At 45.2% G+C, this 27,605-nt stretch overlaps 4 annotated features.

The window, feature by feature from the left end:
- Positions 5,329 to 5,489: a silencer, noted in NCBI's record as "fragment chr16:50177493-50177653 (GRCh37/hg19 assembly coordinates)". NCBI's record gives its function as "represses an EF-1alpha promoter that drives an FKBP-Casp9 reporter gene in an ReSE screen in both phorbol 12-myristate 13-acetate-treated (for megakaryocytic differentiation) and untreated K562 erythroleukemia cells {active_cell/tissue: K562 | K562(+PMA)}" and the evidence as "EXISTENCE:reporter gene assay evidence [ECO:0000049][PMID:32094911]".
- Positions 25,441 to 25,941: an enhancer, noted in NCBI's record as "H3K4me1 hESC enhancer chr16:50157041-50157541 (GRCh37/hg19 assembly coordinates)". NCBI's record gives its function as "activates a minimal SCP1, AML or CMV promoter by ChIP-STARR-seq in primed H9 embryonic stem cells {active_cell/tissue: H9 hESC(primed)}" and the evidence as "EXISTENCE:reporter gene assay evidence [ECO:0000049][PMID:30033119]".
- Positions 27,166 to 27,225: a silencer, noted in NCBI's record as "silent region_7471". NCBI's record gives its function as "represses an Ori minimal core promoter by ATAC-STARR-seq in GM12878 lymphoblastoid cells {active_cell/tissue: GM12878}" and the evidence as "EXISTENCE:reporter gene assay evidence [ECO:0000049][PMID:35858748]".
- Positions 27,516 to 27,605: a silencer, noted in NCBI's record as "silent region_7470". NCBI's record gives its function as "represses an Ori minimal core promoter by ATAC-STARR-seq in GM12878 lymphoblastoid cells {active_cell/tissue: GM12878}" and the evidence as "EXISTENCE:reporter gene assay evidence [ECO:0000049][PMID:35858748]".

Below are 27,605 nucleotides of genomic sequence, written 5' to 3'. Positions count from 1 at the left end.
GCCCAAAACACTAAACATTATTGGCTGGGCGCGGTGGCTCACACCTGTAATCCCAGCACTTTGGGAGGCTGAGGTAGGAGGATCACTTGAGGTCAGGAGTTTGAGACCAGCCTGACCAACATGGTGAAACCCCATCTCTACTAAAAATACAAAAAATGTAGCCGGGGTGGTGGCGCACACAAGTAGTCCCAGCTACTCTGGAGGCTGAGGTGGAAGGATCACTTGAACCCGGGAGGCAGAGGTTGCAGTCAGCTGAGATTGCACCACTATACTCCAGCCTGGGTGACACAGCGAGACTCCATCAAAAAAAAAAAAAAACAGATGTTATCAAGGTCCCACCAACAGAAATGCCCACTGTGAAAATTGTTAAACATTCATCCAAAAATCTCTCCATGCATATGTACATGTTGAAATACAGGTATATATTCCAGTCTCTTAAAATATTTCTTTAGGACCAGGCACGGTGGCTCACACCTGTAATCCCAGCACTTTGGAAGGCAGAGGCAGATGGATCACTTGAGGTCAGGAGTTTGAAAGCAGCCTGGACAACATGGTGAAACCCCATCTCTACTAAAAACACAAAAATTAGCTGGGCCTCATAGGCGCACACCTGTAATCCCAGCTACTTGGGAGGCTGAGGCAGGAGAATCACTTGAACCTAGGAGGCAGAGGTTGCAGTGAGCCGACATTGCACCACTGTACTGTAGCCTGGGTGACAGAATGAAACCCTGTCTCAAAAAAATAAATAAAATAAAATATTTATTCAGACATTCTAGAACACATTAAATGCCATTGATATCTAAGTTTTTTCAAGGTACTCAAAATTAGTAATAGCATGTGCAAGAAATTAACATTTGTTATATTTGAGTGCTGATTTCCTCAGGCAAAGGTTAAGAACTACTAAAGTATTGGCAAAATGCTAAAAATTAGTTAACATACATAAAAATACATTGTAGGCCGGGTGCAGTGGCTCAAGCCTATAATCCCAGCACTTCTGGAGGCCAAAGTGGGCAGATTGCTTCAGCTCAGGAGTTTGAGACCAGCTTGGGCAACATGACAAGACCCCACCTCTATAGAAAAAAATATAAAAATCACTTTGTGGTGCCGGGCACGGTGGCTCATGCCTGTAATCCCAGCATTTTGGGAGGCCGAGATGGGTGGATCATCTGAGGTTGGGAGTTGGAGACCAGCCTGACCAACATGGAGAAACCCCGTCTCTACTAAAAATACAAAATTAGCTGGGCATGGTGGTGCATGCCTGTAATCCCAGCTACTCAGGGGGCTGAGGCAGGAGAATTGCTTGAACTTGGTAGGCGGAGGTTGCAGTGAGCCGAGATCGTGCCATTGCACTCCAGCCTGGGCAACAAGAGGGAAACTCTGTCTGAAAACAAACAAAGAGACAAACAAACAAAAAACCTTTATGACCAGGCGCAGTGGTTCATGCCTGTAATCCCAGCACTTTGGGAGGCCGAGGTGAGCAGATCACTTGAGGTCAGGAGTTCAAGACCAGCCTGGTGAACATGGTGAAACCCCATCTCTACCAAAAGTACAAAAAACTAGCCAGGCGTAGTGGCGTGTGTCTGTAATCCCAGCTACTTGGGAGGCTGAGGCAGGAGAATCACCTGAACCCAGGAGGGGGAAGTTGCAGTGAGCCAAGATCATGCCACTCCACTCCAGCCTGGGCAACAAAGGGAGACTCTTGTCTCAAAAATAAAAATAAAAACTTTGTAGACTGTGATGTGTGGGCCTAAAGACAAGGCATTACTGTGTTCATTCACCTGGAAAGAATGCATGTTGGTTAGCTGTGTAACTTATCCTTGTTTCAAGGCCTTCAGCAAATCTTGGTTGAATGTCTGTCACCCATGCAGAATTGAGCTAATTGCTTTAGAGGAGATAAATAAGCAACCAGGGCCTTTGGCTGCCTTCCATGAATTTCCTGTCTGGTTGAGGAGGCAAAAAGAAGTAAATATTTAAACTCAAATTGCAATTCATTCAATTAATTCAATAAATATGGTCTTGAGCAACTATTAGATGCCAGATTCTGGGGATACAGCAACGAACAATTCTGATGAGGTCCCTGCCCTGGTGGACCTAGTTTGCCAGTGAGCAAGGGAAGCCTATAAAGTCAGACAGTGGTAAATGCGATGAAGAAAAAGAAGGCAGGCTAAAGGACAGTGACAGTATGCTATTTTTAGATAGGCTAATCAGGGAAGGCTGCTCTGAGGAAGCGATATTTGAGCCGAGCGGTAAGCAAAGGAGTGGGCTGTGACCATCTAAGGAATGGTCCATTAGACAGAGGGGATGGCAAACACCAAGGCCCTGGGTCAGGAACCTGCTCTGGGTGCAACAAGATGAGGCACTGTGATTGAGTGTCGGATGTGTGCCATGGTATAGAATTATAAAGCATGTCTTCTGGAAGGTACCTTAAAAATCATTCAGCTGGGGCCGAGTGCGGTGGCTCGCTCCTGTAATCCCAGCACTTTGGGAGGCCAAGGTGGGCAGATTGCTTGAGCCCAGGAGTTTGAAACTTTCCTGGGCAACATGTTGTTTCTCCTAAAAATACAAAAAATTAGCCAGGCATGGTGGCCTGTGCCTGCAGTCCCAGCTACTCAGGAGGTGAGGTGGGAGGATCGCTTGAGCCTGGGAGGCAGAGGTTGCAATGAGCTGAGATCACAACACTGCACTCCAGCCTGGGTGACAGAGTGAGACCCCATCTCAAAATCAATCAATCAATCAATCAATCAGCTCCCTGGACATGGTGGCACAAACCTATCATCTCAGCTACAGGGGAGGCAAAGGTGGGAGGATCCCTTGAGCCTAGGAGTTCGAGATCAGCCTGGGCACCCCATCAATTTTAAGAAAAAAAAATTTTTAAAGAAAAAAATTATGCAGCCCAAAGTAAAACAGTTGGGTATTTCGCATACACTAAAATGTACAGTTGACCCTTGAACAATTCAGGGTTGGGGTAATGACCTCAGTCGCACTATTGAAAATCGGCGTGTAGCTTTTCTTTTTGAGGCACAGTCTCACTCTGCTGCCCATGCTGGAATGCAGTGGCATGATGGCGGCTCACTGCAGTCTCAACCTCCCGAGCTCAAGTAATCTTCCTGCCTCTGCCTCCTGAGTAGCTGGGACTACAGACGCGTGCTGTCAAACCCACCTAACTTTTTCTATTTTTTTTAGAGAAGGGGTCTCAGTATATTGCCCTGGTTGGTCTTGAACATCTGGGTTCAAGCAGTCCTCCCCACTTCAGCCTCCCAAAATGTTGGGATCACAGATGTGAGCCATCACACCTGGCCAGCATATAACTTTTGATTCCTCAAAATTTTAACTACTAGACAAGTGTGGTGGCTCATGCCTGTAATCCCAGCACTGTGGAAGGCCAAGGCCGGTGGATTGCTTGAGGCCAGGAGTTCAAGGCTTCAGTGAGCTATGATCACACCTCTGCATTTCAGCCTGGGCAACAGAGAGAGATCCTGTCTCTAAAAAAAAAAAAACCAGGCTGTGCACCATAGCTCACACCTGTAATTCCAACAGTTTGGAGGCTGAGGTGGGAGGATTTCTTGAGTCCAGGAGTTTGAGACCAGCCTGGGCAACATAGTGAGACTATGTTTATATATTATATAGTGATATAAAATGTAAATAATTTTATACTATTTTATATTATTATTTAAAAAATTATTTTATATATATATATATATTTTTAGATGGAGTTTCGCTCTTGTTGCCCAGGCTGGAGTGCAATGGCATGATTTCGGCTCACCGCAACCTCAGCCTCCCAGGTTCAAACGATTCTCCTGCCTCAGCTTCCTGAGTAGCTGGGATTATAGCCATGCATCATCACGCTTGGCTAATTTTTCTATTTTTATTAGAGACGGGATTTCTTCATGTTGGTCAGGCTGGTCTCGAACTCCTGACCTCAGGTGTTCCGCCTGCCTCGGCCTCCCAAAATGCTGAGATTACAGGCATGAGCCTCTGCCCCCAGCCTATAGTGTATTCTTAAAGTAAGCTAAAGAAAATAAAATGTAAAAAAAAGGAAATAAAATAAAATGTTACTAAATAAATTATAAGAGGCCAGCCCCAGTGGTTCATGCCTGTAATCTCAGCACTTTGGGAGGCTGAGGTGGGAGGATCACTTGAGCCCAGGAATTAGAGACCAGCTTGAGCATATAGTGAAATCTCATCTGTACAAAAAAATTTTTTTAATTAGCTGGCTGTGGTGGCACACACCTGTAGTCGCAACTCAGGAGACTGAGGCGGGAGGATTTCTTGAGCCCAGGAGGCAGAGGTTGCAGTGAGTCAAGATCGTGCCACCCGTACTCCAGCCTGGGCAGCAGAGCAAGACCCTATCTCAAAATAAATTAATTATAAGGAAGATAAAATGCATTTACAGTACTGTACTATATTTGTTGATACCTTAACTTCATGTCATCTGTTTACAGGACGAATCATCTATCCGAAATGGCAGGCACCCACAGCTGCAGACCTCAATCTGGGTAGGGTACATAGCAAGCAATTCAACTTTTTCTTCTAATGTCAAGACTTTCCTCTGCTCCTTGGGAGCACTTCCAGCATCATTAGAATGGGTCCCATAAGTGATACAAGGTTTCTACTCGAGAACTGAGAGAGATCACTTTTCACTGCTCTGTACAGTTTGCCAAAGAGACAACTGCTCACACAGATGATTAATGGTACCTGGTGTTTTAAGCAGATGTTCTCAATAACAACTAGAAGTAACTACAAAATTATTATAGTACTGCACTATGTACTACAGGTAATTTTTTTCAGTTATGATTTACTATCGCATCTTTGTTTGTTTACATTTTTTTCAACTGTGAGTGATGCCATGTATAATCTGTAAGTATATTTGTGCATCAGTTTGGGCAAATTTTAACTTTTTTTTTTTTTTTGAGATGGAATCTCGCCTTGTCGCCCAGGCTGGAATGCAGTGGCACGATCTCGGCTCACTGCAATCCCTGCCTCCCGGGTTCAAGCAATTCTCCTGCCTCGGCCTCCTGGGTAGCTGGGACTACAGGTGCCTGCCACCACACCCGGCTAATTTTTGTACTTTTAGTAGAGACGGGGTTTCACCATGTTGGCCAGGCTAGTCTCGAGCTCCTGACCTCGTGATCCACCCGCCTTAGTCTCCCAAAGTGCTGGGATTACAGGTGTGAGCCACCGCACTGGCCAAATTTTAACTTTTTATAACAGGTTTGTGCATATTTTATGGTAGTAAATGATAAAATACACTAGTGTCTACACATATCTTGTGCATTCCTACCTGACTTTTCTTAATTTTTTTTTTTTTTTTTGAGACAGAGTCTCACTCTGTCACCCAGGCTGGAGTGCAGGGGCGTGACCTCGGCTCATTGCAGCCTCCGCCTCCTGGGTTCAAGTGATTCTCGTGCCTCAGCCTCCCAAGTAGCTGGGATTACAGGGGTGTGCCACCAGATCCAGCTAATTTTTGTATTTTTAGTAGAGGTGGGGTTTCACCATGTTGGCCAAGCTGGTCTCGAACCCCTGACCTTAGGGGATCCACCCGCCTTGGCCTCCCAAAGTGCTGGGATTACAGGCATGAGCCACTGCACCTGGCCAACTTTTTTAATTTTTTTTTTTTTTTTTGCCATTTCTAGGCTATTCTCCAAGTTTTCTCAAATTGTCCCAAATCTCTGAAAATTTTTCCCATATATTTATTGAAAATATCCACATATAAGTGAACTCACACAGTTCAAGGAACAACTGCATTCACTTTCCCCAACAAATCTTCAATGTTTTATCCCAAATAATCTACTACTGCATTTTAAAAAATAGACAACACCAATTTCAATAATCAATTTTACTCAGCGTTTTCATTTTGCTATTTAGAACAAAAGAGCAGACATTTATTGGAGTCTTGAAAATCGTCAACATTGATAAGCCAAAAAACGCAGCTATCACAACCCCAGACATGTTCCTCCACAATTTAGCACCCCGTTCATTCTCAATATTTTTCTTCCTAGGCAAGAAAGATGTTGAATTGATAGTCTTAACTTGTAAGATTTACTGAAATGCCAAAGTTCTACAGAGTAAAAATTTAGTAGAGAAATAAGAAAGAAAACTACCCAAGAATCATGCAAATTTAAATGTGTTTTCATTTAGTTATTTATTCTTTTTAGAACTGAAGTGTCACTTTGTCACAGGCTAGAGTGCAGTAGTGTGACCTTAGCCCACTGCATCCTGGAACTCCTGGGCTCAAGTGATCCTCCTGCCTCAGCCTTGTAAGTAGCTGGGACTACAGGCATGTGCCACCATGCCAGGCCAATTTTTTCATTTTTTTGTAGAGATGGGGGTCTTCCTACGTTGCCCAGGCTGGTCTTGAACTTCTGGCCTCAAGCAATCCTCCCACCTGGGCTGGCATTACTATGTTAGTCCAGCCTCCTACTTCCCTGGTAAATCTGCAGGTTTTCCCAGGCTGGTCTTGAACTGCTGGCCTCAGATAATCCTCCCATCTTGACCTCCCAAAGTGCCAGGATTACAGGTGTGGGCCACTATGCCCGGCCTTGATTTATTAACTTGAACAAAACAGGAGGGAAATTCCACAACTACTACCTGGTATTATTAATAATTGTCATTAAGGCAGGATGTGGTGGCTCATGCCTGTAATCCCAACACTTTGGGAGGCTGAGGAGGATATGATTGCTTCAGCCAGGAGTTCAAGACCAGCCTGGGCAACATGATGAGACCCCCCATCTCTACAAAAAATAAAATAGGCTGGGCGTGGTGGCTCACGCCTATAATCTCAGCACTTAGGGAGGCCGAGGCGGGCGGATGACCAGAGGTTAGCAGTTCGAGACAAGCCTGACCAACATGGTGAAACCCTGTCTCTACTAAAAATACAGAATTAGCCAGGCATGGTGGCACATTCCTGTAATCCCAGCTACTTAGGAGGCTGAAGCAGGAGAATCACTTGAACCTTGGAGGCAGAGGTTGCAGTGAGCTGAGATCGAGCCATTGCATTCCAGCCTGGGCAACAAGAGGGAAACTCCCTCTCAAAATAATAATAATAATAATAAATAACAATAAGACAAAATTAGCTGGGTGTGGTGGGGTATGCACCAGTAGTCTCAGCTACTGTGGAAGCTGAGGCAGGAGGATTCCTTCAACCCAGAAGTTCAAGGTTACTCCTGGGTTGAGCTATAATCCTGCCACTGCACTCCAGCCTGGGCAACAGAACAAGACCCTGTCTCAAAAAAACAAGCTGTCATTACAACTAAATTTTTGACAGTATGTGATTAAAGTACTTTATTCTGGAGTTAGTAAAAACCATAAATAATAGTTTCTTAATATTAGTATCTTCATCATTTACATTATGAAGCATTTGCTCCAGTTATGAATAATCTTAGGCCCCATTTACAAACCTTCCCCTTTTTGCACAAAATATATGTTATTGTTTCATGTTATTTTTCTCCTTCATAAATACCAGGAGGATTCCAAGTAGGGAAATATTTTTCAGTGAGACTTAAAAATAATTAGCAATGTTGAAGCTTGTATCTTGTTCAGGGTAATCCAAATTTATTTATTTATTTATTTTTGAGACAGGGTCTTACTCTGTCACCCAGGGTGGAGTGCAGTGGCCCAATCATGGCTCACTGCAGCCTCCACCAACCTCCTGGGCTCAGATGATCCTCCCACTTCAGCCTCCTGAGTAGCTAGGACTAAAGGCATGCACCACCATACCCAGCTAATTTTTTCTTTTCTTTTTTTTTTTTTTTTGTTTTTTGTTTTTTGTTTTTAGAGACAGAGTTTTACCATGGGCTGGTCTTGAATTCCTGGACTCACGCGACCCTCCTGCCTCAGCCTCCCAAAGCACTGGGATTAGAGGCATAAGCCACCTTGCCCAGCCAAAATGTCTTTTATTTCTACTGTTCTAGAAACAAACTTGCTCAGTTTACAAGCCACTTTGGGGTCTTGGTGTGTGATAGTTAATTTTATGTGTCAACTTTATTGGGATACAGGGTGCCCAGATTAAACATTATTTCTGGGTGTATCTGTGACAGCGTTGGTAAAGCAGATTTCTTTAGAGCTCGTATGTGAGCCTGAAGAAGACTTCTGTCTCCTATAGCCACAGAGCTGAGACTGCTGAAAATCAAATGCAGAACCTCATTCTGTGACTGACTGAATTGTATCCAGCCTCACAGGGCATCTACTGTTAAAGTGAGCATATTGATTGGGAAACAATAGGATCCTGGAAATTGAAATAGGGATGTGCGGGAAGACCTTGATAAGAGACATTGAGCCCCGAAAGTCTGATGTATCTCCATTGCCAGTGGAAGAGGCCTCCCTACCCCAGTGGTATGGGTCTCCCCATCACTCTCCCAGCCCCATCTCAGGGAATTAACTCTGCATTGCCTGAGGAAACTGTAAAGGCCTCCACTGAGGCAGTTGACAGGCAAGACTATGCTGATTCTGTTACGGGACCACCTCAACAACCCCCTTTGCTTCTAGACCTGTAACTAGACCCAAGTACCAGTAGGTCCCTAAGGCGAAGTACAAAGTGTGACCCAAGAGGAGGGATGCGATGCTCCAAAAGAACTACAGCAGTCCCCCCAATCCATGGCTTTGCTTTCCACAGTTTCAGTTACCCACAGTCAACCATGATTCAAAAGTATTAAGTGGAAAATTCCAGAAGTAAGCAACTCATACTTTTTTTTCTGTTTTTGTTTTGTTTTGTTTTCTTTTGTTATTGAGACAGATAGGGTCTTGCTCTCCACTCAGGCTTGAGTACAGTGGTGTGATCATAGCTCACTGCAGCCTTGAACTCCTGGGCTCAATCCATCTTCCCATCTTGCCTCCCAAGTTAGCTGGGACTACGGGTGTGCACCACCAAGCTTGGCCAATTTTTTTGTTTTGTATCGTTTTGTTTTGTTTTGTTTTGTTTTTGTAGAGATGGTGGTCTCACTGTGTTGTCCACGTTGGTCTTGAACTCTTAGCCTCAATGGTGCCTCCCACCTTGGCCTTCCAAAACGCTGGAATTATAGGCATGAATCACTATGCCCAACCAACTCATAATTTCAATTGCGTGTTGTTCTGAGTAGTGTGATAAAATATCGTGTCATTGCTAAATGGACTTAGGGTTGTTTAAAAGAAATAAAGAATATAAATAAAATAACACAATAAATTAAAAAAAAAACTTACACCATCCCACCCAGGGTGCGAATCATCCCTCTGTCCAGCATACCTGCACTGTGTATGCTATTCACTCATTTTCACTTAGTAGCTGTCTCAGTTATCAGATTGACTGTCATGGTATCACAGTGTTTGTGTGCAAGTGGCTTTTATTTCACTCAATAGTAGCCCCAAAGTAAGAGTAGTGATGCTGGCAATTCAGATATGCCAAAGAAAAGCTGTCAAGTACTTCTTCTAAGTAAGGAGGTGAAAGTGCTCAACTTAATAAGGAAAGAAAAAAACTCATATGTTGAGGTTGCTAAGATCTATAGTAAGAACAAATCTTTTATCTGTGAAACTGTGAAGAAGGAAAAAGTAATGAAATTCATGCTAGTTTTGCTGTCACACCTCAAATTGCAAGTTAGACTACAGTGACTGACAACTTTCATTACAGCATGTTGTTATAATTGTTCTATTTTATTATTAGTTATTGTTAATCTCTTCCGGTGCCTAATTTTTGTTTGTTTGTTTGTTTGTTTTTGAGACAGAGTGTCACTCTGTCACCCGGCTGGAGTGCAGTGGCACAATCTTAGCTCACTGCAACCTCCACCTCCTGGGTTCAAGTGATTCTCCTGTCTCAGCCTCCTGAGTAGCTGGGACTACAGGCACACACCACCACGCCTGGCTAATTTTTTTTTTTTTTTTTTTTTTTTTTTAGGAGAGACAGAGTTTTGCCATGTTGCACCAGCTGGTCTCAAACTCCCGACCTCAGGTGATCTGCCTGCCTTGGCCTCCCAAAGTGCTGGGATTACAGGCTCAAGCCACCATGCCTGGCCTAATTTTTTTTTTTTTTTAGTGCAGTCAAGGTCTTGCTATGTTGCCCAGGCTGGTCTCAAAGTCCTGGGCTCAAGGGATCCTGTCTTCTCAGCCTCCCAGCATCCTGGGATTACAGGCTTGAGCCACCACACCTGTCGTAGAGCCTTTCTAACTCCCTAAACTGAAGAATTAAAGGCAGAATCTCTGCTTAGTGGGCCCAAATCAATTAATTTAGCCTGACCCAACCTTATGTTCTTTCCACCATCATCGCATACCCTTAGTATCCATTCTCACACATGCTCTCCCATTTCTGTCCATATAAATTAGAAAACTCAAGTAGAGTAGTCCCCTCTTAGCCTAAGGGAATATGTTCCAAGACCCCCAGTGGAAGACTGAAACTGTGGTTAGTACCGAACCCTACATATACTATGCTTTTTTCTATATACACATACCTATGGTAAAGTGTAATTTATAAATTACTTGCTGGGCACAGTTGCTCATGCCTGTAACCCCAGCACTTTGGGAGGCTGAGGTGGGCAGATCACTTGAGGTCACGAGTTTGAGACCACTCTGGCCAATATAGTGAAACCCCATCTGTACTAAAAATATGAAAATTAGCTGGGCATGCTGATATGCACCTGTAGTCCCAGCTACTCAGGAGACTGAAGTGGGAGAATCACTTGAACCCGGGAGGTAGAGGTTGCAGTGAGCCAAGATCGTGCCATTGCACTCCAGCCTGGGTGACAGAGTGAGACTCCATCTCAAAAAAAAAGCCAGCCAGGCATGATGGTGTGTTCCTGTAGTCCAAGCTACTCAGGAGGCTGAGGTAGGAGGACCATTTGAGCCTGGGAGGTCGAGGCTGCAGTGAGCCATACTCTGGCCTGGCTGATAGAGTGAGACCCTGTCAAAAAACAAACAAACAAACAAAAAGGCCAGGCAAGGTGGCTCACGCCTGTAATCCCAGCAGTTTGGGAGGCTGAGGAGGGCAGATCATGAGGTCAAGAGTTCGAGACCAGTCTGGCCAACATGGTGAAACCCTGTCTCTACCAAGAATACAAAAATTAGCCAGATGTGGTGGCGGGCACCTGTAATCCCAGCTACTCGGGAGGCTGAGGCAGGAGAACTGCTTGAACTCAGGAGGCAGAGGTTGCAGTGAGCTGAGATCGAGCCACTGCACTCCAGTCTGGGTGACAGAGCAAGACTCTGTCTTGGGGGAAAAAAAAAGGAAAGAAAAGAAAAAGCTCTAACACTTCAGTTGGTTGGCTCAAACATGGAAAACATGGACCAAAACCTGGTCCATGGTGAGCAAATTGGAAATGCCGTACCTGCCTTGGTTTTATGTAGGGAAAGGAATTCAGAAGCTTAGGGAGATTGGCATGCTAGAGTGAATTTGTCATTTAAGGCCTATTCACCCACACTGGGAAGGTTCAAAAGACACACCTTTCACTAGTACCGTGAAACATAACATCATGAGGGGAGCACATCCTTGGAGAGCTCTGTGATCACCCTACTCTGTAGGCCTGGCCTTTCGATGGAAACTGCACTCACAGAATCGGGAAGCCTAAATGCAATGGGAGTCATTGGATCCCACCCCTGCCCAGAGTGGCAGGTTCCAAGTTTTGGGACTCAACCAACAGAGGCAAGGGGGGTGTGGTTGCCATGATGAACAGCAGAATCAAGGCAGCAATCAGAATAGTCTGACTCATGAAGACCTTTGGCATTGGCAAGTTTATCAGGGTGTTCCTAGAAGTGAAATATTTTCTTACTTGATCTGTATATGCAGAAAATTTCTAGGTCAGATGAACAAAAGTTTAACATGTATCATAAAAATTGATTCATAACCCCTCAGTGAATTGCTGGACATCAGCCACTTTACTGACCCAGGACCACTTGAATGAAGGGGATACCTGGACCTGTTGAAGAATAACCCCAGTACTCCTAAAAATCTATCTTTGTGTGTGTGTGTTTTGTTTTGTTTTTGTTTTTGCTTTTGAGACAGAGTCTCACTCTGTTGCCCAGGCTGGAGTGCAGTAGCTGGGATTACAGGTGCCCACCACCACGCCTGGCTAATTTTTGTATTCTTGGTGGAGACGGAGTTTCACCATGTTGGCCAGGCTGGTCTCAAACTCTTGACCTCATGATCTGCCCACCTCAGCCTCCCAAACTGCTGGGATTAAATGGCTCACTGCAGTCTCAAACTCCTGGGCTCAAATGATTCTCCCACCTTAGCCTGCCGACTAGCTGGGACTACAGGCTCAAACCCCTGTGCCTGGCTAATAAAAATGTATGCTATTAATCTTTTTCCCAGTCTTCCCCAAAGGGACCTATAGCCAGGGACCTGTAACCACAGTAGTTGTGCATTGGGAAGAAGGAAATAATCAGAACTTTTGGGGACTACTAGACACCAGCTCTGAGCTGTTACCAATTCTGGGGTACCCAAAATGCCACTGTGGCCTACCAGTGGGAGTAGGGGCTTATGGAGGTCAGGTAATTAATGGAGTTTTAGCTCAAGTCTGCCTCACAGTGGACCCAGTGGGTCCCAACCCATTCTGCAGTTATTTCTCCAGTTCCAGAATGTGTAATTGAAATAGGCATACAAAGAAGCTGGCAGAATCCCCATATTGTTTCCCTGACCTGCAGAGTGAGGGCTATTATGGGAGGAAAGGCCAAGTGGAAGCTACTAAAGCTGGCCTGAACTAGGAAAATAGTAAACCCAAAGCATAACACATTCCTAGAGGGACTGCAGAGATTAGTGCCACCATCAAGGACATGAAGGATGCAGGGGTGATGATTCCCACCACATTCCCATTCAGTTTGCCCATTTGGCCTGTGCAGAAGACAGATGGATCTTGGAGGATGATGGTGGATTATCACAAGCTTAACCAGGTGGTGACTCCAATTGCAGCTGCTGTATCAGATGTGGTTTCATTGCTTAAGCAAATTAACACATCCCCTGGTTCCTGGTTTGCAGCTATTGAACTGGCAAACGCCTTTCCCTCAAATTCCTGTCCATGAGGCCCATAAGAGCAGTTTTCTTTCAGCAGGCAGGCCAGCAATATACCTTCAGGTCCTGCCTGGGGGGTATATGTGAACTCTCTAGCCCTATGTCAAAATTTACACAGAAAGACAAACATTGCATGTTCTCACTCATTTGTGAGATCTAAAAATCAAAACAACTGAACTCATGGACATAGAGAGTAGAAGGGTGATTATCAGAAGCTTGGAAGGGTAGGGTAGTGGGGGAGGTGGGAGGTAGGGATGATTAATGGGTACAAAAACAGTAGTTAGAAAGAATGAATAAGACCTGCTATTTGATAGCACAACAGGGTAACTATAGTCAACAATAATTGTACATTTTAAAATAACTGAAACTATAATTGGATTGTTACACAAAGGATAAATGCTCAAGGGGATGGAACCCCATTCCCCATGTAATCATTATGCATTACATGCCTGTATCAAAACATTTCATGTACCCCATAAATATATACACCTACTATGTATGACAAAAATTATTAAAAATAAAACAAAATTAAATTCCCAAAGAATTGCCTTTCCCTTCCACAAGACATCACACTGGTCCATTACACTGAAGCCACCGTGCTGATTGGACCCAGGAAGCAAGGAGTATCAACTATTCTACACTCACTGGCAAGACGCTTGCATGTCAGAGGGTGAAAAATAAATCCAACAAAAATTCAAGGGCCTTCTACCTCCGTGAAACTTCTAGAGATCCAGTGGTGTGGGGCATGTTGAGATGTCCCTTCTAAGGTGAGGGAGAAGTTGTTGCATCTGCCCCTCCTACAGGCAGAATACAGGCACAATGCCCCGTGGGTATCTTTGGATTTTGGAGGCAACATATTCTTCATTTAGGTGTGATATTCGAATCTATTTACTGGGTGACCCAAAAAGCTGCAAGTGTTGAGTGGGACTCAGAAACGGACAAGGCTCTGCAATGGGTCCAGGCTGCTGTGCAAGCTGCTCCGCCCCTTGGGCCATATGATCCAGCAGAGCCAATGGTGCCTGAAGGGTCAGTGGCAGACAGGGGTGCTGTTTGGAGTCTTTAGCAGGTTCCTGTAGGTGGATTATAGCTCAGATCCTTAGAATTTTGCAGCAGAGCCCTGCCATCCTTCAGCTTACTTTCCTTTTGAGACAGCTCTTGGCCTGCTCCTGAGCCTTGGTAAAGACTGAATGCTTGACCAGACGTGGTGGCTCACACCTGTAATCTCAGCACTTTGGGAGGCTGAGGTGGGTGAATCACGAGGTCAGCCTGGCCAACATGGTGAAAGCCCACCTGTACTAAAAATACAAAAATTAGCCGGGCATGGTGGCATGTGCCTGTAATCCCAGCTACTTGGGAGACTGAGGCAGGAGAATCACTTGAACCCTGGAGGCAGAGGTTGCAGTGAGCCAGGATTGCGCCATTACACTCCAGCCTAGGTGACAGAGCAAGACTCCATCTCGGGAAAAAAAAAGACTGAATGCTCAACCATGGCCACCAAGTTACAATGCGACTTGAGCTACCCATCACAAACTGGGGGCTATCTGATCTCCAATGCCATAAATTTGGATGTGCACAGGAGCACTCCACCATCAAATGGAAGTGGTATATACATGATTGAGTTCAAGCAGGCCCTGAAGGCACAAGTAAGTTAATGAAGGACTGGCACAAATACCAACGGTCCCCCGCCCCGCTACACTGCCTTCTGTCTCCCGTTCTGTACCTATGGCCTCTTAGGGAGGTCCCTATAATCAGCTGACAGAGGAAGATAGGACAGGCCTGGTTTCCAGGTGGTTCTGCACAATACGTGTGTGCCATCTGAAAGTGGACAGCACTACAGCTTCTCTCTGAGACATCCCTTAAGGACAGCAGTGAAGGGAAATCTTCCCAGTGGCAAAACTTCAGGCAGCATGCTTTGCTTGGAAGAAGAAATGGTCAGACACGCAATTATATACCAATCCCATGGGCTGTGGACCATGGTTTGGCTGGATGTTCAGGAACTTGGAAGGAATATGATTGGAAAACTGGTAACAAGGAAATTTGGAGAAGAGGTATGTGAATAGACCTCGCAGAATGAGCAAAAATCATAAGATATTTGTCTCCCATGTGAATGCTCACTAAAGGGTGACCTCAGTAGAGCAGGACTTTAAAAATCAAGTGGATAGGATGACCTATTCTGTGGATAGCCATCAGCCTCTTTCTCCAGCCACCCCCTCATCAGCCAGTGGGCTCATGAGCAGAGTGGCCATGGTCAGGGATGGAGGTTAATCATGGGCTTGGGAATATGGACTACCACTTATCAAAGCTGACCTGGCTATGGCCACTGGTGAGTGCCCAATCCATCAGCAGCAGAGACCAAGACTGAGTCCCTGATATTCCCCGGGGGGTAAATCAGCCAGCTCCCCAGTGGCAGGTTGATTACACTGGACTGCTTCTATCATGGAAGGGACAGTGTTTTGTTCTTACTGTAATAGATTCTTTAAAAATTTTTTTTAATTATTATTTTTTATTTTTAGAGATGGGATCTTGCTGTGTTGCCCAGGCTGGAGTGCAGTGGCTATTTGCAGGCATGATTATAGCACACTACAGCTTTGAACTCCTGTTCTCAAGAAATCTTCCCACTTTGCCTCAGCCTCCCAAGTAGCTAGAACTACAGGTGCACACCACTGTGTGGGCTTGTAATAAACTCTTACTCAGCATATTAATTTGCCTTCCCTGCACACAATGCTTCTACCAAAACTACCGTTTGTGGGCTTATAGAATGTCTTATCCATTGTAATGGTATTGGTATTCCACACAACATTGCTTCTCATCAACGAACACACAGCAAAAGGAATGCAGCAATGGGTTCAAGCTCATGGAATTCACTGGTCTTTTCCCACCATTCTGAAGTAGCTGGTTTGATGAAACAGTGAAAGGGTCTTTTGAAGACTTAGTTACAGTACCAGCTAGGAGGGCTAGGGCAAGGTTCACCAGAAGGCTGTATATGCTCTGAATCAGCGTCCAAAAACAGTGCTGTTTGTTTTGTTTTTCTTTTTTCTTTCTTTCTTTTTTTTTTTTTTTTTTTGGAGACAGAGTTTCCCTCTTGTCGCCCAGGCTGGAGTGCAATGGTGTGATCTCGGCTCACTGCAACATCTGCCTCCCGGGTTCAAGCGATTCTCATGACTCAGTCTCCTGAGTAGCTGGAATTACAGGCACCTGCCACCACACCGGCTAATTTTTGTATTTTTTAGTAGAGATGAGGTTTTGCCATGTTGGTCAGGCTGATCTTGAACTCCTGACCTCAGGTGATCCACCCGGCTCGGACTACCAAAGTCCTGGGATTACAGGTGTGAGCCACCGCGCCTGGCCATGGTGCTGTTTCTCTTACAGCAGGAAATCACAGTCAGGAATCAAGGGTGGAAATGGGAGTGGCACCCTTCACCAATTTTTTTTTTTTTTTTTTTTTTAGACAGAGTCTTGCTCTGTTGCTCAGGCTGGAGAGCAGTGGCATGGCCATAGCTCCCTATAGCCTCAAACTCATGGGCTCAAGCAATCCTCCCACCTCAGCCTCTCAAGTAGCTAGGACTACAAGTGCTTGCCACCATGCCCAGCTTGTTTAACAAACAAAGAAAAAAAATGTATATATATATATATATATTAGAAACAGTGTCTCCCTATGCTGTTTGGGCTGGTCTCAAACTCCTGGCCTCAAGCAATCCTCCTGCCTTAGCCTCCCAAAGCACTGGGATTACAGGCATGAGCCACTGTGCCCAGCTGAACCACTATTACTTCTAGTGACCCAGTAGCAAAATTTTTGGTTCCTGTTCTCACAACTTTATGCTCTGCTGGTCTAGAGCTCTTAGTTCCAGAAGAAGGAATGCTTCCATCTGGAGACACAACAATAATTGCATTGAGCTGGAAGTTAAGGCTACTGCCCAGCCACTTTGGGCTCCTTAATACCCTGAATCAACAAAAAAAGAAGGGAATCCTCTAGTGGCTAGATAAATTGATTCTGACTACCAAGGGAAACTTGGACTACTACTCCACAATGGAGGTAAGAAAGAGTATGTCTGCAATTCATGAGATCCTGCAGAGCATCTCTCAGTATGACCACGCCCTCTGATTAAGTGGAACGGAAAAATATACAACAATCCAATCCAGACAGGACTATATATGGCCCAGGTCCTTCAGGAATGAAGGTTTGGATCACAACACCAAATAAAGAACCATGACCACCTGAGGTGTTTGCTGAAGGCAAAAGGAATACAGAATGGGGTAGTGGAGGAAGATAGTTATAAATAAATACACAGCCATGACCACATGACTGGTTACAGAAATGAGGACTGTAATTGTTATATTTCCTCCTTATTTTATTTATTTATTTTTTTTATTATTTATTTATTTATTTATTTATTTATTTATTTTTTGAGATGGAGTCTCCCTCTGTCACCCAGGCTGGAGTGCAGTGGCGTGATCTCGGCTCACTGCAAGCTCCACTTCCTGGGTTAATGCCATTCTCCTGCCTCAGCCTCCTGAGTAGCTGGGACTACAGGTGCCCATCACCACGCCCGGCTAATATTTTTTTTAATATTTTTAGTAGAGACGGGTTTTCACCCGTACCCAGGATGGTCTCAATCTCCTGACCTCGTGATCTGCCCACCTCAGCCTCCCAAAGTGCTGGGATTACAGGTGTGAGCCACCACTCCCGGCCTCCTCCTTATTTTATTATGAACACGTTTGTGTAGCAAATATCTTTGTTTTCTTTCCTCTCATTTTATCATGTAACATAAGATGTATTGACTTTGTATCATAGGATTTAAGTATTGTTAATTTTATATCTGGCTGCGTGTGGTTGTTCATGTCTGTAATCCCAGCACTTTGAGAGGCTGAGGTGGGAGGACCACTTGAGCCCAGAAGATCAAGACCAGCCTGGGCAACATAGGGAGACCCTGTCTCTACAAAAATTAAAAAAAAAAATAGCCAGGCGTGGTAACACTTGCCTGTAGTCCTAGCTACTTGGGAGGCTGTAGAGGGAGGATCTCTTGAGCCCAGGAGGTAGAGGTTGCAGTGAGCTATGATCATGCCACTGCACTCCAGCATGGGCAGCAGAGTGAGACCTTATCTCAGAAAACAACAACAGCTGAGCATGGTGGCTCACACCTGTAATCCTAGAACTTTGGGAGGCCAAGGCAGGCAAATTGCTGGAGCCCAGGAGTTCGAAACCAGCCCGAGCAATATGGCAAAACCTCATCTCTACTAAAAACAAAACAGAAAAAAAACAAAAAACAGTATCCAGGTGTAGTGGCATGCACTTGCTGTCCCGACTACTCAGAAGGCTGAGGTGGAAGAATCGCTTGAGCCTGGGAGGATGAGGCTGCTGTGAGCTGTCATTGCACCACTGCACTCCAGCCTGGGCAACAGAGCCAGACCTTGTCTCTATAGAAAACAAACAAAAAACCAACAATAACAACAAAAATTTTACATCTGCTCTATGAAAGTGTCATATATGCAAAGCAGCCCTCAAATGCCAAAGGAACAGAGAAACCAAGGAATGAGGCAGATGAACCAGTTTGTCAATGAAGGGTGATTTATGAGGGAACTTATACACAGTAGTTTAGTCTTGAGCATCAGCAAGACAGGTAGATCTCAGCACGATTCCTCCCCAGACACAAGGCTCACCTACCAAAGGGAAAGGGGCTCTATGCTCTATAGAGACAATTCAAGGCAACTGATATAGTTTGGATTTTTGTCCCCTTTAAATCTCATGTTGCAATGATTCCCAGTGTTGGAGGTGGGGCCTGGTGGGAGGTGATTGGATCATGGGGGCAGATCCCCTCATGAATGGTTCAGCACCATCCCCTTGGTGATAAGTGAGCTCTCACCTGACTGCATGTGAGATCTTGTTGTTTGAAAGTGTATGGCACCCACCCCTTCCCCGTCTCTCCTGCTCCCACTTTATTTATGTAACATGCCTGCTCCCCCTTCAGCTCCCACGGTAATTGTAAGCTTCCTGAGGCCCTCGCCAGAAGCAGATTCTAGAGCCATGCTTGTACAGCCTGCAGCCTGCAGGTGGGAGAATTGCAATCTCAGCTCACTGCAAGCTCCGCCTCCCAGGTTCAAGAGATTCTCCTGCCTCGGCCTCCCAAGTAGCTGGGATTACAAGCACCTGCCACCACATCTGGTTAATTTTTTTTTTTTTTTTTTGTATTTTTAGTAGAGACGGGGTTTCACCATGTTGGCCAGGCTGGTCTCAAACTCCTCACCTCAGGGGATCCACCCGCCTTGGCCTCCCAAAGTGCTGGGATTACAGGCGTGAGCCACCGCGCCCAGCCCAAACCTCTTTTCTTTACGAATTACCTAGCCTCAGGTATTTTTTATAGTAATGCAGGGACGGCCTAACACAGCAGCCCTCCAGAACAGGCAAGAATGCTGTGTGCGTCATAGCCTGTGATTTGTGTGGTAATATCAAGGTTGCCTTGACCTAAAGGCAGGATTTATAGTGTGTACATGTTCTTACACCAAGGACAGTAAATAAAGTAGGAATCAGAGGCATTCATGAGACTGGGGTTAGTAAGAAGTCAGTATGGCAGATCAGCATTCAAGATGGACTCACTTTTGTCTCCGCAACATCACAGTCTTTAAGTTTCAGAAGAATATCAAAGAGAAGACTAAACATCACTCATTCCTATCCTTTTCTGGGAAAGAGTTTGTGCATTTTCGGTGGCACACAGGATAGATGTATCATATTAGGCAGAATTATTATCTTGTTATTGTCATTATTTGGAGATTAAGTATGGTTTCAGGAGATGAGGATGAGTGTCAAGTTGACAAGGGGTAGACTCGTGATGGTTATTTTTATGTGTTGACTTGATTGGGGCATGGAGTGCCTACGTAAAACATTATTTCTGGTTGTGTCTGTGAGAGTGATTCTGAATGAGACCGGCATTTGAATCAGTGGCTGAGTAAAGCAGATGGCCCTCCCCAGTGTGGGGGTCCTCATCCAGTCCTGTCATCCAATCCATTGAGGGCCTGAATAGAACAACAGAAGCAGAGGAGGGAGAGTTTGCTCTGTCTGCCTGATTGGTTGAGTGGAGACATCAGTCTTCTGCCCTCTCCTGGGACTTGCACCATCAGATTCCCAGTTCTCAGAGTTACACCGCCAGCCTTCCAGGGTCTCCAGTTTGCAGAAGCAGAGTGTGGGATTTCTCAGCCTCCATAATCGCATGAGTTAATTCCTTAAAATACATCATAGATGATAATACAGTGATAGAGATAGAGGTGGATAGACAGATAGATTGATCAATCATATTGGTCTATTTTTCTGGAGAACCCTGACTAATACAGTGAGTGTTTTAAGAGCTCTATTGGTGGGGGGTGGCAATGGGGAGATGTTGGTCAAAGGGTATGAAGTTTCAACTATACAGAAGAATAAGTTTTCAAGACCTATAAGAGAACTGATTTTATTTTATTTTTAAATTTTATTTTATTGAGAGTGTCTTGCTCTTTCACCCAGGCTGGTGTGCACTGGGATGGTCTCAGGTCATTGCAGCCTCAATATTCTGGGCTCAAGTGATCCTCCTACCTCAGCCTCCCAAGTAGCTGGGACAACAGGTGCATGGCACCACGCCTGGCTAATTTTTGTATTTTTTGTAGAGATAGGGTCTCACTATGTTGCCCAGGCTGGTCTCAAACTCCTGGCTCAAGTGATCCTCTTGCCTTGGCCTCTCAAAGTGTTGGGATTACAGGCGTAAGCCACTGCATCTGACCAAGAGAGCTGATCTTAAATGTTCACACCACAAAAAAAAATTATGTGAGGTGATGGATATGCTTGATTTAATTATTCCATAATGTGTACATATATCAAAACATCACATTGCATCCCACACAGATATGTAGTGATTATTTGTCAATTAATTTTTTTTTTTGAGACAGGGTTTCACTCTCCTCATCTAGGCTGGAGTGCAATGGTGTGATTTTGGCTCACTGCAACCTCTGCCTCCCAGGCTCAAGTGATCCTCCCACCTCAGCCTCCCTAGTAGCTGGGACTATAGGGGCACACCACCACGCCCTGCTAATTTTTGTATTTTTGGTGCAGACAGGGTTTCACTATGTTAGTCAGGCTGGTCTCAAACTCCTGAGCTCAAGTGATCAGCCCGCCTTGGCCTCCCCAAGTGCTGGGGTTACAGGCATGAGTCACTGCGCCTGGCTGATTAAATATTTTTTAAAAGAGATTTATTTTAATTTACATACTGTGACATTCACCCATCTTAAGTGTACAATTCAATAATTTTTAGTGAATGTACAGAGCTGTGCAATCATCACCACATTCCAACTTTAAAATACCTCCGTCCCCAGAAAGATCTTTAAGGTTCATTTGCAGTCACTCCTTTACCCACTTGAGCCCTAGGCAGCCACTAATCTACTTTCTATCTTGATAGCTTTGCCTTTTCTGGGTAACTCTGTGTTGAGTGGTGTTTCTATAGAACTTGACCATGGCAGGCACTAAGGCCCCCAAAAAGAATTGGTAGCTCAGCCTAATGAGAGTGGAAAAAACCCACTCCCAGAATGAGTTCATTTTCTCAAATTTTTGGACTGGTCTTTAACAAATTCAGACATTTTTCAGATTCAGGTTTTCACAAGGCCATGGAGGCAGCTCCTCCCATCCTCCCATCATCTTTCTTGTTACTAGAGGAAGTAGCGCCCTTGGCCAGAGGTACGCAAAGCAAGTGTTGGTCTCTGGGCGGCCACTCTAGTGGAGAGAAAGCCCAGAAACTCAAACAAGATGCAACACCCTAGCAGTGCTGTGCATTTTACGTTTTTTTTTTTTTTTTTTTTTTTTTTTTTTGAGATGGAGTCTCGCTCCGTCACTCAGGCTGGAGTGCAGTGGAATGATCTCGGCTCACTGCAACCTCTGCCTCCTGGGTTCACATCATTCTTCTGCCTCAGCCTCCCATATAGCTGGGATTACAGGTGCCCTCAACCACGCCCAGCTAATTTTTTGTATTTTTAGTAGAGATGGAGTTTCACCATGTTGGCCAGGCTGGTCTTGAACTCTGACCTCAGCCTCCCAAAGTGCTGGGATTACAAGTGTGAGCCACCGTGCCTGGCCCCATGTTACCCTTTCTTTTTAACTCACCCCTGCAATGTAGTCTATGGATAAAGGAGAAGGTGCTCACTGACATTTGCTACCTCTTCTGTCATTAAACAATCCAACCATGCAAATTTCTGTTTTGAAAGACTAAGGCTCTTTTTTTTTTTTTTTTTTTTTTGAGACAGAGTCTCGCTCTGTTGCCAGGCTGGATTGCAGTGGCACAATCTTAGCTCACTGCAACCTCCGGCTCCCTAGTTCAAGTGATTCTCTTGCCTCAGCCTCCCAAGTAGCTGGGATTACAGGCACACGCCACCACGCCCAGCCAATTTTTGTATTTTTAGTAGAGATGGGGTTTTACCATGTTAGCCAGCATGGTCTTGATCTCCTGACCTCGTGATCTGCCCACCGCGGCCTCCCAAAGTGCTGAGATTACAGGTGTGAACCACCGCATCCGGCGGACAAAGGCTCTTCTGTCAGAATAGCATGAAAAAAAGAAAAGAAATAAAAAGACAAAGGCCCTTACTAAATGTCAACACTGTACTCCAGAATGTTCTCTTAGCAGCGCCTACATAGCTTGAAACACAGTCCAGGCCTTCTCGAAAAAGAGTTACTTGGTCACAAAAGAAGTTTCCAAGGCTCTTTTCTAGAACCCAGTTTTACTATTGTTCCTGTTTTGTTTTGACAGTCACCTTCTGCTTTGTGCCTAGGAGACAAGTATGACCTTCCTGATCCTCCTACATTCAAAAAACCCCAGACCTTCCGTATTATATCTCCAGGACATGCTGGAAGCCTCTACCCCAACCCTACTTGCCTAGTTCTTGTCTAGGCTACTGCATATCTTTCCAACTGTTGGTCTGGAATCATCCACATCAACGCTTGGAACCTCCTCCGCCTGTAATCCCAACATTTTGCGAGGCCAAGGCTGGGGAATCTCTTGAGCCCAGGAAATCGAGGCTTCAGTGAGCTGTGTTCACACCACTGCACTGCAGTGTGGATGACAGAGCAGAGCAAGACCCTGTCTCCAAAAAAAAAAAAAAAAAAAAAAAAGAATGACAACGTCACTTTGCTTACAGCACATAATAAAATCAAACTCTAAGCAGGATGGTAGGCATGGAAGTCAGAATCCGCTAACAAGTGTAAGTAACAATTTGTCTCCCAGAAAAAATACAAAAAGAAACAAATCAAACTCCAGATTTTTTTTCTGTTCGAACCCATTTCTCTCACTGTCTTCTGCATTTCAATAAATGATGACCCCATCCTTCAAGTGACTCAGGCCAAAATCCTTGGCATCACCCTTAACGTTTTCTTCACTCTCACCACACATCCAACCTACCATTGATGCTGCAGGCTCTTCCTTTAGATGACAGCTGCCTACTTTCCAGGAAATGCACCACTTGGGTCCAAACTACTAGTGTTTCTCGCTGAAATGATTAAGACTGGTTTCTCTCCTTCCAGCCATGCCTCTCATCCATCTGTTCTTATCCCAGGATCAAAGTGATCCTTTGCAATGGAAAGCCAGTGTTTCTCCTCTGCCCCATGTTTCCTAATGTCTTTGTATCACACTCAGATCCTTAACACGGCTGCAAGGCCCTATCTGGTCCAACCCCATCTCCTCTCTAGCCTTGCATCCTGCTACTGGATCACTGTGCTGCAGCCACATGGGTCTCTGCATTGTTACAGAACCCTCCAGCATGCTCACTTGGCAGGGCCTGTGCACATGCTCATTGGAGGCTGGTGCCTCTTTTCCCAGTAATCTCTGTGCCTTCCTCATTTCCTTCAGGTCTCTGCTCAAATGTTGCTGCCCCAGAGGCCTTCCCTGACTGCTGTCTTCTACAGTAACACTCCTTTACATCTGCTCCATTTACCCAAATTTACTGTTTGGCTTTAGCACTTATTTTTAGCACCCAGCATGCACTTATTTGCCTATTCATTGGTTGTCTGTTTCCCCTACTAGAACGTAAGCTCCATGGGAACAGGAGCTTGGTTTGCAAGGCAGACTGACTTTAAGATAGTCTCCTCTCCCATGATCCCCACTTCCTGCTGCTCAAGTCTTTATGTAATTCCCTCTCCTTCAGTGTGGGTGGGACCTGTGATTTGCATCTAACCAATAGCATGTGACAAAGTGATAGGATATGATTCCCATGATTATGTTGCTTTATAAGACTCAGTCTTGACCAGGCACAGCGGCTCCTTCCTGCAATCCCAACCCTTTGGGATACTGAGGTGGGAGGATCACTTGAGGCCAGGAGTACAAGACCAGCCTGGGCAACACAGTGAGACCCTGTTTCTATAAAAAGTTTATTAAAGATTAGCTGGGCAGGCCAGGTGCGGTGGCTCACGCCTGTAATCCCAGCACTTTGGGAGGCCGAGGTGGGCAGATCATGAGGTCAGGAGTTCGAGACCAGCCTGGCCAACATGGTGAAACCCCGTCTCTACTAACAATACAAAAATTAGCCAGGCATGGTGGTGGATACCTGTAATCCCAGCTACTCAGGAGGCTGAGGCAGGAGAATCACTTGAAACCAGAAGACGGAGGTTGCAGTGAGCTGAGATCGCACCACTGCACTTCAGCCTGGGCAACAAGAGCAAAACTCTGTCTAAAAAAAAAAAAAAAATTAGCTGGGCATGGTGGTGCATGCCTTTAGTCCCAGCTACTCAGGAGGCTGAGGCAGGAGGATTGCTTGAGCCCAAAAATTCGAGGTTACACAGAGCTACACAAAAATAATTGCTTTTTTGTGTGTGTGTCTTGCTGTGTCACCCAGGCTGTAGTGTGAACTTACTGCAACCTCTGCCTCCAGGGCTTAAGCGATTCTCCTGCCTCAGCCTCTTGAGTAGCTGGGATTATAGGCACCCACCACCACGCCTGGCTAATTTTTCCATTTTTAGTAGAGATGGGGTTTCGGCAGGTTGGCTAGGCTGGTCTTGAACTCCTGACCTCGGGTGATTCACCCGCCTCAGCCCCCCAAAGTGCTGGGATTACAGGCATGAGCCACTGCGCCCAGCCAATAAGACTTCCGTCTTGCTAGCAGATATGCTTTCTTCTGCTGGCCTGGCCTGAAGCAAGCTGCTGCTTGTCAACTGCACAGGGGCAGCCTCCAGGAACTGAGGACCTCTGGCCAACAGCTGGTAAAAATCCAAAGCTCTCCATCCTATTCCTACAAGAAAATGAAGTCCACTAACCACTGGAGTGGGCTTAGAAGCAAATTCTTCTCCAGTTGAGTCTCCAGATGAGAACACAGCACTGTTGATAGCTTGATTGCAGCCTGGCAAGAACCTGAAACAGATAACTCAAGGAAACAGTGCATGGACTCTAGACCCACAAAAACTGAGAGAGACTAAATGTGTTTCTTTAAACTGCTGCATTTGCAACAATTTGTTACACAGCAATAGAAAACTAATATTGATTGGTTTGTTCATTGCTCTATCCTGAGTACATAGGACAGGATTCAAGCATACATTAGGTACTTAATAAATATTTGTTGAATGAGTATATTGTTACAGAAAAGCAAAATAGCAAACAAAGTGGGCCAATGTTATAATATGTTACCAGTCATAAGAGTGCCCTGTCTATGTGCATACACATCGTCTATCTCTAGAAGGGTATACATGGAAGTAACAGAAGACCAGGGGAGGAAAACTAGAGCATAAGAAATCCATGAAAAATTGAGACTTTCACTTTATACTCTTCTGAACTGTTATTTATTTATTTATTTATTTGAGACAGGGTCTCGCTCTGTCACCCAGGCTGGATCTGCAATGGTGTGATCATGGCTCACAGCAGCCTCCAATTCCTGGACCCAGGCAATCCTCCCACCTCAGCCTCTTGAGTAGCTGGGACTACAGGCAAGCACCACCACATCCAGCTACTTTTTTTTGTTGTTTTTTTGAGACGGAGTCTCGCTCTTTCGCCCAGGCTGGAGTGCAGTGGCACCATCTCGGCTCACTGCAAGCTCCACCTCCTGGGTTCACGCCATTCTCCTGCCTCAGCCTCCCAAGTAGCTGGGACTACAGGCGCCTGCCACCATGCCTGGCTAATTGTTTTTGTATTTTTAGTAGAGATGGGGTTTCACCGTGTTAGCCAGGATGGTCTCGATCTCCTGACCTCGTGATCTGCCCACCTCGGCTTCCCAAAGTGCTGGGATTACAGGCATGAGCCACTGCACCCAGCCACTTGTTTTTGTTTTTGTTTTCTTTTTTTTCATTTTTTTGTAGGGACGAGGTCTTGCTCTGTTGCCCAGGCTGGTCTCAAACTCCTAGGCAAGGAGGGAAAAATAAGGGAAAAGCTTGGCCCGCTTGTTTTGCATTTTACCTTGGAAAAGGCCCTCATGGCTTGGCTTGACACATGTCTGGAAAAAGAATTCCTAAAACAAAGGAAATTTTTTTAAAAGAGGAAAATAAGAATTTACCTTTCTGCTGCTTTTGTTGTTGTCATTTGTTTGTTTTGGGGGTTTTTTTTGAGATGGAGACTCACTCTGTCACCCAGGCTGGAGTACAGTGGCACAACCTCAACCCACTGCAACCTCTGTCTCTTGGGTTCGAACTATCCTCCTGTCTCAGCATCCTAAGTATCTGGGACTACAGGTGCATGCCACCATGCCCGATTAATTTTTTTGTATTTTCAGTAGAGACGAGGTTTCACCACGTTGGCCAGGCTGGTCTTGAGCTCCTGAACGCAAAAGATCGGCCTGCCTCAGCCTCCTAAAGTGCTGGGACTACAGGCGTGAGACACGGTGCCTGGCCCTTTTCTGCTTCTTTGTGATGTAGTCAAAACATAACGTGCTATTGACTCTGAAATTCTTTGTTTTTCTGGGGGAGGCCAAGGCAGGAGGGGCTCTGCAGGTACTGGATTACAGGTGTGAGCCACAGCACATGGCCTGAATTTCGTTTTTAATCTATAAATGTATCACTTAAACATGCACCCCCAAAACCAAATAGCTCCTATGACTTCCAATTTCAAGTAAAATCCCTTCTTCAGCACTTACTCCTTTACTTGGCGCTCTGCCTTCCCCATCCGGGAAACACCCTTGTCTGTTGCACCTGCCCCGTAATCCCCCTCCAGGATGTTTTGTGGTGAGCGCCTTCAACAAAAGAATAGCTACAGAATTAAATGTGTTTGGAACCACATGCACATCGTGCTTTGACTACCTCACAAAGGAGCAGAAAGGCAAATTCTGTTTCCAGTAATGTGCAAAGTCAAGCCACAAGGACCTTCTCTGAGGTAAAATGCAAAATGAAAGGGCCAAGCTTTTCCCTTATTGTGATTGTGTAACCAGCCTAACAGACATTTAATTTGAGAAAAAATTTGAATAATAATATGGAGTTACCCTGGAGTTTTGGGATGGTCTAAGAGTAAGCTTTGAAAAATGTGGCCAAAATGATTATAATCAGGGTGGGGGGAGCAATTTCTGTATTTATTTGGCTGACATGAAAAAAAAATCCAGCTGAAAATCTGCAGGCTGACAAATGGACAGAACCCATTACAGAGCAAGAAAAACTGAGTCAGAGAGGACAGGCTAGAGCTCTGGGAGGCCACACACCTTGTGCCAGAAATCGAAGCTGCCAAGCTTATCA

The sequence above is a fragment of the Homo sapiens genome, chromosome 16 (assembly GCF_000001405.40).
Source record: "Homo sapiens chromosome 16, GRCh38.p14 Primary Assembly".
NCBI classification, from domain to species: domain Eukaryota; kingdom Metazoa; phylum Chordata; class Mammalia; order Primates; family Hominidae; genus Homo; species Homo sapiens.
Note: the sequence above shows the minus strand (reverse complement) of the source record. Positions and strands in the feature narration are given on the sequence as shown.